The following is a 12,648-nucleotide window of genomic DNA, read 5'->3' on the forward strand; positions in this document are numbered from 1 at the left end:
CATAAGAAAGGTTATGTATATGTTGAAGAATATAGGATCAATCCATTACATTATGATTTATTTGATTTAAACACTTCTTACTGGGTTTCTTTTGAAAGTTTTGATTGGCTTTTGGTAAGACACATGTTTTATCAAATCGATTGTTGATTTTGCTTCATTTAGCAGCATTCACTTTCTGACTCTGAAGTGGCCCTTTCCCTGAGTTATAGTTTCCCTTGACTGTGTGATTCTTTCTTCTCAGTGTTTTAAGTCTGTTCTTAATTTACAATTTTAATATGATCTCTACATTTTGAAAATGAAGTTTGTGAAATAAGAGAGATAAATATATTTAGATTGCTTAGGTTAAAAACCCTTTTTGGATTTTCAGTGGGTATTGATAGGCATAAAAAGTCATAATTAATAAGCAGTTCCTCTTAAATTGTTTGATTCCGTGTTCTGAAAGTACAGATTATGAAATGAAATTTTCGAACTTCTGAAAGCTACTAATCCACTCTCCTTTATAAACAAGGCTCACAGAGTGTGGGTGACTTGCACAAGGTCACATAGATGGTGCCAGACCTGGGACTGCAATCCAGGTCTCTTGATTTTTGTTCCAGTGTACTCCATACTATGTATTTTCATAATATGTAATTTTCAGTGGGAAAAACCCATAAGCTAATGTTGTTTGTTGACATCTGTGGGCCATGGTATATAATCTAATATAAGTAGTAGGTAAAAACAATCTTTAGTCATTCCTTATAAAGGGTTTCTTTTACAAAGTGTCTTTTGAATTGCTGCTTTTATTTTAATAAGGCAGTAGTCATACATGGGGCATGCAATATATTCTTCTGTAAATTATGATAGCTCATGTTATCTGGTCTTTACTGTGGGCTGCCAGCCTGCTAACCACTTTAGGCTCATTATTTCATTGAATCCTCTCAACATCCTTATAAGGAAGGTACATAGTATTACCAGCCCCCTTTTAAAATGAAGAAACAGATTTCAGAGAGGTTAACTTACCCAGGGATATAGAAGGATACAGATTTGATCATACGTGGTTGGGCAGTCTCCTGGATAGTAGTGTTTTCTTTTTGTTGTTGTTGTTGTTTTTGAATAAGCACAGAGAATTATTAATTAAATAGGAAATTTAAATGGTTTTAAATAGCAGTACATTTTGGAAACATTTGAGGGGAAAAGATTCTAATGGAGGTGAATAGGAGGAACTGAAAGAAGAAAGTAGTGACAGCAATCAAGATCCTGGTGTAACTACAGAATGGAGAGATTGGGGACTGTCCCTGTAGTTGCCAAGAGGGGTTCCCGTCCCACCCTGTGCCAGGGCTGAAGGTGCTTCTCAGCCAGGGAACGGCCTTGGAGCTCTCTTGTGGTATCCAGGACAATTTGTGTTGTCCTCTAATCAGGGTGGATCCTTCTGGATGCAGTATGACAATAAGATAAATTTACAATGTCCTTTTGGTATATTTCTGAAACTTGATTGGTGTGTTTTTCATGGGTGGATGGTTGGTGAGGGTGGGGTTTCTGAACCACTGAAATAAGTTGCTGTCCCTAACCTTGGACTGTTACACCATTTTTCCTTTGACCTTTGATCTGTGATGAAGTAACTTCTGGAAGTGGGATATCAGGAGTTATGTTCTTGTTGGTTTACACATGTTATTTTTTACAAGAACTCTATAAACTAGATTTTATCAGTTCTTTTTTATAGGAGAAGAAACAGATTTGCAGATACATAAAGTGATTAAGTGATTTGTCCAGAGTCACACAACTTGGATGGCAGAACTGGAGCTTGAACTCAGGTCTCTTGACCTTTAAGTTCAGTTCTCTACTCACTGTATGGGAGACCCGGAAGGAGATTCTTTTGGTGTGTCACATAGCCTTACCATTGCTTTGTCCTATGTAACGTCATCAATTATGTGAATTATCTGACATTACAAGAGTCAGAAGGTGTCGTAGAGATGCCTTAGAGTCCAACTTCCTTTTTATTGTAGATGAGAATACTGGGTGGCCAAGTGACTTAGATTGAAGACAGCACTTGTTAGAAGGAAGACTAATGGGTTTCAAGTCAAAGTCAGAATTTAAAAGTATCCTAAAGGCTGGAACCTTGGGCTGATTTACCAAATAAAAATTTTAACAGATAAAGGTTTAGATTTTTTAGAATACAGATTACACAGCAATGAAGAGGATGAGCTGGGCATGGTGGTGTGCTCCTGTAATGCCAGCAACTTGGGAGGCTGAGGCGGAGCTCAGGCTGTAGTGTGCTATGATAGAGAAAAAAAATTAAGAAGAAAAGGAAAGAAGTGGGATGTTGCTTACTATACAGTTTTTTCAACATTTCTGCATGTTTGTAAAATTTCATAATAAAACATTAGGGGAGGCTGGGCACAGTGGCTCATGCCTGTAATCTCAGCACTTTGGGAGGCCGAGGCAGTCGAATCATGAGGTCAGGAGATCGAGACTATCCTGGCCAACATAGTTAAACCCGTCTCTACTACAAGTACAAAAATTAACGGGGCGTGGTGGTACGCACCTGTAGTCCCAGCTACTCGGGAGGCTGAGGCAGGAGAATTGCTTGAACCCGGGAGGCGGAGGTTGCAGTGAGCCGAGGTCGTGCCACTGTACTCCAGCCTGGCGACAGAGCGAGACTCCATCTCCAAAACAAAAAATAAAAGGGGGGAAAAAGAGAACAGTAGCTTAGCAGCAGTTTGTGTGGTAAAAGACTTGAAAATATTAGATAACCATGAACTTATTATGAGCCTCTGGAAGCTCCTAGAAAAGCAGATTTTTTTTTTCTTAGATTAAGGTAGGAGCAGCTCAGTTTCTAGATCGAGGGAAATAATAGTCTTGCTGAGCTCTGTGCTTGCCAGACCAGATCTGTCTTGTATCTGTGCCCACTTCCGAGGTGCCTGTCATACTTTGATGCCAGTGGACACAGGGTACTGAAATCTGGAGGAGTGGATGGGGAATGTGTGGTGCTGACTTGGAAGGAGGGCCAATTTAGGGAATCGCCATGGTGGTCTTCAGATACTGGGGGAGTTGTGGAGTGAGAGTGGTACTTTTATTTTGAACATAAAGCTTAGATTAAGGGAGAGCAAAGACATTACAGGGAATTAGATGCCCATTCTGTTTTCCTCATCCCTGACCCTCCCATTCTGTATCTTCAGTACAGCAGCGCAGGTTAGTCTTTGGGAACTGCAAGTCAGGTTATAGGACTGCACGGCTTTTATTCACCGTCCTGTGTCACATGAAGCCCAGGGCTTGACTGGTCTTCTGGCCCTTGCCGACAAGTCCTCATTTTGACATTTCTGTATTCTAGCCATACTGTATTCTAGCCAAGTCATTAGAGTTCTTCAGTTGAACCTGTGTTTACTCTCATACCTTCGAGGTGTACCTCCTACTTTGTTGCCCAAAGTAAGGCAGAATTGGGGATCTTTCTGCTTCCATTGTATCCTGTACATATACTTGCCCTGTTTTTTGTTTTTTAAAGTAGGTTCATAAAGGATGGGGACCTATTTTGTTCATTTACATGTCCTGTTTATTCCTGTAGACTGTGAACTCCTTGAAAGTAGGTATTTTTGTCCTAGTCCTTTTTTTTTTTTTTTGAGATGGAGTCTCACTTTGTTGCCCAGGCTGGAGTGCAGCGGCACGATATCGGCTCATTGCAACCTCTGCCTCCCGGGTTCAAGCGATTCTTCTGCCTCAGCCTCCCAATTAGCTGGGATTACAGGCACGCACCACCACACCCAGCTAATTTTTTATATTTTTGGTAGAGACAGGGTTTCACCATGTTGGCTAGGCTGGTCTCAAACTTCTGACCTCACTTGATCCACCTGCCTCGGCCTCCCAAAGTGCTGGGATTAGAGGCATGAGCCACTGGGGCCGGCCTGTCCTAGTCTTTATATGCCCATATATTTGAGTCCTCCTTGACTAGGTTCCCAGAGAATTGGTGCTTGGCTTGCCTGGACATGGAATAAACGTTTATTGATAAATAAATGTTGTGCCCACAATGACTTGCCTCATAACTTTTTAGTAGTCAGGATCCTCCCACAGTAGACTCTTGTAACTACAAGAATATTTTTTTGTCGATGTTGCACGTAGAGTTTCCTGTAAAATGGCTTCCAAGATATTTTTCATTTCTAGTAAAGAGTCTATGAGTTGATTTTTAAATAGTATTATGTCTACCTTATATGGTAGGTAAGAGATAGCCCTTTGTTTTCCTCAGGAGGTTTTAATTATATGATCTCCTTGTAGAAGTAAAGGAAACTCTGGAGCTTCCTGTGTGGCTGTGAATGTGTAATTAGCTTTGGGCAGGGCTCCCAGAGCTGTGAACCCTGTCCTGAGGAGCACTGGGACATTCTAGTGAGCGTTCAGGCCACCCAGATTGCAGCCTTGTAAATGAAGGGTTTATTTCTCTAATGAGAGTGGTTTGTGTCTTCACTCAATTAATATTTTAATATTAAATTATGGCAAATATTTTAAATTTAAAAGTAGATATATATAAATTAGTATGATTTTTAAAATAATTTCAATAATTGTTTTAAAAAGTAATTTTAATACATGTCAATAATTTATTTTAGACTCAAGGGGTACACGCACAGGTTTGTTGCATGGGTATGTTGCACGATGCTGAGGTTTGGGGTACGGATCCCGTCACCCAGGTAGTGAGCATAGTTTTTCAACTCATGCCCATCCCTCATTCCCTTCTTCCAATTAGTATGATTACAACTAAGAATTTTACTTTTACAGCTCTAATTTAATACATATTGATCTAGACCTGGCAATAAATATTCTGCTCTAAGAAAGGTTTTATGTTAAATAACATGGTAGTTAGTCCCTTCAAAATAAAAAATGTTGATTAAGAATACCAGCACGGGCCCGGCGCGGTGGCTCACACTTGTAATCTCAGCACTTTGGGAGGCCGAGGGTGGATCATCTGAGGTCAGGAGTTCAAGACCAGCCTGGCCAACATGGTGAAACCTGTCTCTAGTAAAAATACAAAAATTAGCCAAGCGTGGTGGCAGGCGCCCATAATCCCACCTACTCGGGAGGCTGAGGGAGGAGAATCACTTGAACCCGGGAGGCAGATGTTGCAGTGAGCCAAGGTCGTGCCGTCGCACTCCAGACTGGGGGAGAAGAGCAAGACTTCATCTCAAAAACAAAAAGTATACCAGCACTGATGACAACATTGGACAAGTAGACAAATCTAGAAGGGGCAGGTTGAGCTGTGTAGTTTTAGTGTTGTCACGGTTTGTTTATATGTTGTGAAATATTCATTGAGATCAAAAGCTGGCATTCCTAACTTGTGTTATATGTATATTGGAGGCCATATGGAGTGGCAGAAGTGAAGTGAGGTTTGAATTCAGACCGTTGTTCCTCAAGAATGAATTGACCTGGAGAGAATTACTTGCAATCTCTGATCCTTAGTTCCTTCATCTAGACATACCCACCTGGGATCATGTGAGGATCCAGTGAACTGTACAAGGTACCGCACAGGACATGGTGCTTGCTGTCGGGGAGAGGCTCAAGGCCTTCAGTGCCTTTCCCTGTTATTTTTGGGAGCAGTGCATCTATTTTGGTGTTTTTAAGAAACACTGTTTGACAAATACATGAGGCATACTTCATGGACTATTGTTTCAGATTATTCTTAGAACACAGAGGCAGGATCCACAATGTTTTTATGAGGAGAGCTACTTTTTATTCCCCCAAACCTTGACTTTCCTGGACTAGAGGTCTCAGTGATGTGTGCTGATGTGACACCCTTGAGCAAAGTTGGAGAAGAGAGAGTGGTAATTTCCACCACTTCCCCTTCTCCAAGACACTGGAAGTGCTGTGAACTGTGCTCCTTCGCTCCTCTGCTCTGTAATCTCTGCCTGGGGGGGCTCTAGAGGGGCTCTAGGGAGGAGTGTCAGCCAGTGATTTCTCCATCTCGACCAGGTAGGGACCCAGGACCTTCTGGTGAATTCTAATTTGTTTTTTTATGAGCCTGAGGGTCATTTAAGGAATTTGTGGAAGCATTTGTGATTGTCTCAGTGGTTGGTGGGTGCTATAGGCATTTATTTAATAGGTAGGGCCCATGGAATTCAAGGCTTAGTGTGGTGACAGTTCTGTAAAATAGAACTTTTCCTATGATCTGCACAGCTTTAGAATATCTTTTTTTTTTTTTTCTGAGACCAAATCTTACTCTGTCACCCAGGACAGAGTGTAGTGGTGTGATCCCAGCTCACTGCAACCCGGGTTCAAGCGATTGTCCTGCCTCAGCCTCCCAAGTAGCTGGAATTAAGAGATGTGCCACCACGCTCGGCTAATTTTTGTATTTTTAGTAGAGGCGGAGTTTTACCATGTTGACCAGGCTGTTCTCGAACTCCTGACCTCAGGGGATCCATCCACGGCCTCCCAAAGTGCTGGGATTACAAGCATGAGCCACTGCGCCTGGCCTAGAATATCTTGATGAATAATTTATGTAGATAGAAAAAAACTGTTTAAGGCCGAACCTATAACTGAATTCCATTTTACATAAAGGGTTTTTTTAAATGTAATTTTAGTAGAAATGGAAATTTCAGGAAATGGAATTAGTCTAGACTTTGAAGGGAAATTATCTCATTTTGTTCTTAGTTTTATTAAGTGTATTACTAGTCTTGGTTCTCTCAAGAAACAGAACCGATAGCATATATATATATCTCTCCAGTAGGACAGAGAGCGAGATGTTTATATATATAGTATATTTAACTATATTTAACCAATATATATGATTGTGTCATGCGCATCCTATTGGTTCTGTTTCTCTGGAGAAAATATAAGTATTCACCAGTTGCCCTTTATCTATGGTTTTGCTTTCCATGCTTTGAGTACCTCATGGTCAACCAAGGTCTGAAAATATTGAATGGAAAAATTCCTGAAACAAACAGTTGGTACGTTTTAAATTGTGGACTGTTCTGAATGACATGATGAAATCTTGTGCGGTCTCATTGTCACACCTGGAAGATGAGTCCTCACTTTGTCCGATGTATCCATGCTGTGTGTGCTGCCTGCCCATTAGTCCCTTAGTCTTGGTTATCAGATTAACTGTCTGGTATCACAGTGCTTGTAACCCTTAGTTCACTTAATAATGGACCCACAGTGCAGGAGTAGTGATGCTAGCATATTGTATTATTGCTTACTTTATTATTAGTTATTGTTGTTAATCTCCTACTGTGCCTAATTTATCAACTTAACTTTATCATAGGTGGTATGTATACATGGTCCCCAACTTACTGTGGTTCGACCTAAGATTTTTCAACTTTATGATGGCATGAAACTGTCACATTTTGAATGTAATGTATAATATTCAATAAATTACATGAGGTGTTCAATACTTTATTATAAAATAGGCTTCATGTTAGATGATTTTTGTCCACCTATAGGTTAATGTAAGTGGTCTGAGCATGTTTAAGATAGGCTAGGCTAAGCTATGACGTTCAGTAGGTAAAGTGTATTAAATGCATTTTTGATTCATGATATTTTCAACTTACGATATTTTTATTCCATCATAAGTTGAGCAGCGTCTTTATGTATAGGCAAAAACATAGTATATATGGAGTTGGGCAATATCTGCATTTTTAGGCATCCGTAGGGGTTCTTGAAACATATCCCCCTCGGATAAAGGGGAAGCATTCTATATATAACAAGATCCTTATTAAAGGAATTGGCTCATGCAATTATGGAGGCTGAGAAGTCCCAAGATCTGCAGTTGGCCAGCTAGAGATCCAGGAAAGCTGATGGTGTCATTCTGATCTGGCTCTGAAGGCCTGAAAACCAGGAGAGCCACCGATGTAAGTTTCTGTCTGAAATCCAGCAGGCTTTAGACCCAAGGAAAACCAATGTTTGTTTCAGTTTGAGTCAGACGGCAAGCAGAGATGTCCCAGCTCAGCAGTCAGGTGGGAGGGGCTCCCTCTTACTTAGCCTTTTTGTTTTATTCAGGTCTACAGTTGATGAGATGAGGCCCACCCACATTAGGGAAGTTAATCTGCTTTAGACAGTCCACTGAATAAAACGTTAATTTCATCCAGAAACACCCTCACAGAAACACGCAGAATAATATTTGACCAAATGTCTGGGCACCCCATGATGCAGTCAGATTGACACATAAATTAACCATCACACTGAGAGTGATTCACCTTTTTAGGTAAATGAAGAATCAATCACATTATTGATAGCATTCATGATAGGTAGGGTGATATCTGAGTTGCCAAAATGACATACCCAAATGAAGAGTATTTGTAGCTGTGAAATTCAGTGATTCAACTTAGAGATGTGGATTTCTGACCATTTTAGTCCTAATATAGTCCTGCCTGAAAATTTACATATTGAAATTTATATTTATTTTATTAAAAATTGTTTTTATATTATAGTTGCTGTGTTAAGTAGATATTTTTGGAATATATATGTAATAAGTTATTTCTGAATTTTATTTCAGGATAGTAAAGGTATATTTTCAATAGTTTTTAAAGAACGGGGGTGAGGCATGGTGGTTCACACTTGTAATCCCAGCTATTCGGGAGGCTGAGGTGGCAGGATCCATTGAGCTTGGAAGGTCAAGACTGCAGTGAGCCGTGACTGCACCACTGCACTCCAGCATGGGTGACAGAGTAAGACCCTGTCTCAAAAAAACGGTGAACAGGGGGTATTTGGGTCTGATATGGCTAAGAACCAGCCGGTCTAAGTGATCTCAAGCTGCCAGCCTCCTTGAACAGTCTGCATCTCAGCATCTTTAAAGGTTTGACTGTGTTTCTTTTCTCCTCTTGGACCTCTGCAAAACCATAATCTTTCTCTTTATCACATATTTTACAGCATTGGCATATATTTTCCAGAAGTCCTTGTTCGACTTACAATGTTTTTATTTCATCATAAGTTTAGGAAAAACTTATGGTTTTTTTTTTAATTTTAGCTCTATTGATATGTAATTTATATGTCATACAATGCACTTATTTAAAGTGTAAAACTTAGTGGTTTTCAATATATTCACAGTATTGTGCAACTATCACCGTGATCTAATGTTAGAACTTTGCATGTCTACAAAAAGAAACCCTGTATCCATTAGTAGCCAGCCTCTATACTCCCTACCCCAACCCCTGGCAATCACTTATATTCTTTTTATCTCTATAGATTTGTTTCTGCTAGATAATTTATATAAATGGAATCATATAATACATGGTCCTTTGTGGCCTTCCAGTTTTTTTGTTCTTTATTTAAAAAAGAAAACAAGATACATGTGCAGAACATGCAGGTTTGTTACATAGGTATACATGTGCCATGGTGGTTTGCTGCACCTATTGACCCATCCTCTAAGTTCTCTCCCCTCGTTCCCCACCCCACAACAGGCCCTGGTGTGTGTTGTTCCCTTCTCTGTGTCCTTGTATTCTCATTTTTCACCTCCACTTATGAGCAAGAACATGCAGTGTTTGGTTTTCTGTTCCTGTGTTTGCTGAGGATGATGGCTTCCAGCTTCATCCATGTCCCTCCAAAGGACATGATCTCATTCCTTCTTATGGCTGCATAGTATTCCATGGTGTATATGTACCACATTTTCTTCATCCAGTGTATCATTGATGGGCATTTGGGTTGGTTCCATGTCTTTGCTATTGTAAACAGTGCTGCAATAAACATACCGTGTGCTTGTATCTTTATAGTGGAACGATTTGTATTCCTTTGAGTATATACGCAATAATGGGATTGCTGGGGTATTTCTGGTTCTGGATCCTTGAGGAATCACCATACTGTCTTCCACAATGGTTGAAGTAATTTACATTTCCACCAACAGTGTAAAAGCATTCCTATTTCTCCACAACCTTGCCAGCATCTGCTGTTTCTTGACTTTTTAATCATTGCAATTCTGACTGGCATGAGATGTTATCTCATTGTGGTTTTGATTTGCATTTCTCAGATGATCAGTGATGTTGATATACAGACTAATAGAACAGAACAGTGATGTTGATATATAGACCAATGGAACAGAACAGAGACCTCAGAAATAACACCACACACCTACAACCAGCTGATCTTCGACAAACCTGACAAAAATAAGCAATAGGGAAAGGATGTTGTATTCATTAAATGGTACTGGGAAAACTGGGTAGCTGTATGCAGAAAACTGAAACTGGACCCCTTCCTTACACCTTATAAAAAATTAACTCAAGCTGGATTAAAGACTTAAATGTAAAACCCAAAACCATAAAAATCCTAGAAGAAAACCTAGGCAATACCATTCAGGACATAGGCATGGGCAAAGACTTCCATGACAGAAACACCAAAAGCAATTGCAACAAAAACCAAAATTGACAAATGGGATCTAAGTAAACTAAAGAGCTTCTGCACAGCAAAAGAAACTATCATCAGAGCAAAGAGGCAACCTACAGAATGGGAGAAACTTTTGCAATCTCCCCATCTAACAAAGGTCTAATATCCAGAATTTACAAGTAACTTAAACAAATTTACAAGAAGAAAACAACCCCATCAAAAATTGGGCAAAGGATATGAACAGACACTTCTCAAAAGAAGACATTTACGTGGTCTTCTTTTATTTGGTACAGATGCTCCTTTATTTAACGTGGGGTTACATCCTATAAACCCCTCGTAAGTTGACAATGTCATGAGTTGAAAATACGTTTATTATACCTAACATACTGAACATCGTAGCTTAGCCTAACCTACCTTAAACATGGTCGGAACACTTAAATTAGTCTACAGTTAGACAGAATCATCTAACACAAAGCCTATTTTGTAATAAAGTGTTGAATATCTTATGTAATTTATTGAGTACAGTACTGACAGTGAAAAACAGAATGGTTGTATGGGTACTCTAATGTATGGTTTCTAAAGGTTTATTGCTTTCACATCATTGTAAAGTTGAAACATTGTAAAGTTTAAAAATAGTAAGTCAGGGGTCATCTGTGTATTGTTTTCAAGGTTCACCCATATTATAATATATATCAGAGCCAGGCACGGTGCTCACGCCTGTAATCCCAGCACTTTGAGAGGCTGAGGCGAGTGGATCACGAGGTCAGGAGATCGAGACCATCCTGGCTAACACGGTGAAACCCTGTCTCTACTAAAAATACAAAAAATTAGCCGGGCGTGGTGGTGGGTGCCTGTAGTCCCAACTACTCGGAAGGCTGAGGCAGGAGAATGGTGTGAACCCGGGAGGCGGAGCTTGCAGTGAGCCGAGATAGTGCCACTGCACTCCAGCCTGGGTGACAGAGCGAGACTCCGTCTCAAAAAAAAAAAAAAATTTTTTTTCAACTTTTCTGTAGTGACATCTAGCTTTCAAACAGTTTTATCACATGGTAAAATTCTTCGAAAACAAATTTCTAAAGCGCTTCCTTCCAGTTATGTTCTCAGTGTAATGCCATTTTTTTCCCACAGATTTGCTTGTAAATGCATCACGAAGAGGCAGCCCAGAATGAAGAAAGCAAGCAGGAGTGTTGGCTCAGTGCCTAAAGTGTCTGCAATAAGTAAAACGCAAACAGCAGAAAAAATTAAACCTGAAAACAGCTCTTCAGCATCTACGGGAGGCAAACTTGTAAAACCTGGAACAGCAGCATCATTGTCAAAGGTATTCATGTGATGTTTGAATACATGATGGGTTTTTGGAGGACTGAATTTAAATATGATGTTTAATATATTAAATGAGCATTCTTAGGGGTGTGCCCTCTTCTGGTGCTGGGAACACTTGGCCTTTGAAGAGAGCTTACAGTGGGGTGGACCTAATTGCTGTTTTTGGTCTGTCTTTTTGAATGAAACCAGACAATAGGCTTGTTCATGAAACAATAATTGAGCACCTGCCTTGTGCAGGATGCTGTGATTGTGTGAGCTGGAGGTACAGTCTGCCTTCAGGGAGCTTGTGGAGGAAAGGGTGGAGGCAAGGCACAAACATGAATAATGAAAATACCCAGGGAGAATGTCAGATACCCTGGGAGAGCAGTAAAGCATTGTGAACAGTTTCAGGTAAGTAAATATTGTTTCAAGCCTGGGAAGGTTTTATGAAAAGGTCATGTGAGCCAAGTCTGGCAGTCCTGTGACCCCTAGACAGGTGTTTTTATCTGCCTGTCTCCCTCACTGTCACCACCACAAATTGCTGTTCTTCTGGCAGCTGGTCCACGATGATGATGATGATGATGATTATACCATTTTTTAAAAAAGAGATGAGATATTATTCTTATTATTACTATTACCATTTTTTTTTAAATAGATGAGATCTATGTTGCCCAGGCTGGTCTCCTGGGTTCAGTGGATCCTCCTGCCTCAGCCTCTCGAGTAGCTGGACTAGAGGTGTGCGTATGCATGCACAACTGGAAACATGATCTGTTCATTCCAGGCAGGGCCCTGATAGATCATGGCTTAATTATTTTAAGAAGGAACTCAGGAACAGCCGATGAGGAACTTCCTTATATGTGTAGAAAGATCTAACAGGAAATGCTGGTTTTTCTATTCTAAGGTTGTTGGAACTGAACCCAGGCTTATTCCCTTGGCTCGGAGATGCACACAGATTTTCTCCTAGCTGTGGCCCTGAGGAATTGTTAGGTATCATTCTGTGACCTGGAGGATGGTGCCAGGAATAGACCCTTGCCCAGCTTCCATTGTCTCAGTGAACACACTGAATCATTTTGTTGGTGGCAGTGCTGC

General features: G+C 40.3%; 1 protein-coding gene and 1 long non-coding RNA gene across 4 annotated transcripts in view, besides 1 other annotated feature; both read left to right on the forward strand.

The window, feature by feature from the left end:
- The window catches only part of SPECC1L-ADORA2A (SPECC1L-ADORA2A readthrough (NMD candidate)), a 171,544-nt gene that overhangs the window by 19,990 nt on the left and 138,906 nt on the right, over nucleotides 1-12,648 (forward strand). The window contains 1 exon segment of the long non-coding RNA NR_103546.1: nucleotides 11,389-11,578. This is a non-coding gene — a long non-coding RNA (SPECC1L-ADORA2A readthrough (NMD candidate)).
- The window catches only part of SPECC1L (sperm antigen with calponin homology and coiled-coil domains 1 like), a 146,908-nt gene that overhangs the window by 19,976 nt on the left and 114,284 nt on the right, over nucleotides 1-12,648 (forward strand). For all 3 annotated transcript variants that reach the window (NM_015330.6, NM_001145468.4, NM_001254732.3), the window contains one exon: nucleotides 11,389-11,578. In NM_015330.6, the coding sequence (NP_056145.5) occupies nucleotides 11,426-11,578 (153 nt within the window). In that variant the 5' untranslated portion in view covers nucleotides 11,389-11,425. The remainder of the gene's footprint in view (nucleotides 1-11,388; nucleotides 11,579-12,648) is intronic.
- Nucleotides 1,315-1,609: a silencer, noted in NCBI's record as "tiled region #3008; K562 Repressive non-DNase unmatched - State 7:EnhWF". NCBI's record gives its function as "represses a minimal TATA promoter and a strong SV40 promoter by Sharpr-MPRA in K562 cells {active_cell/tissue: K562}" and the evidence as "EXISTENCE:reporter gene assay evidence [ECO:0000049][PMID:27701403]".

Source organism: Homo sapiens, chromosome 22, assembly GCF_000001405.40.
Source record: "Homo sapiens chromosome 22, GRCh38.p14 Primary Assembly".
NCBI lineage: Eukaryota > Metazoa > Chordata > Mammalia > Primates > Hominidae > Homo > Homo sapiens.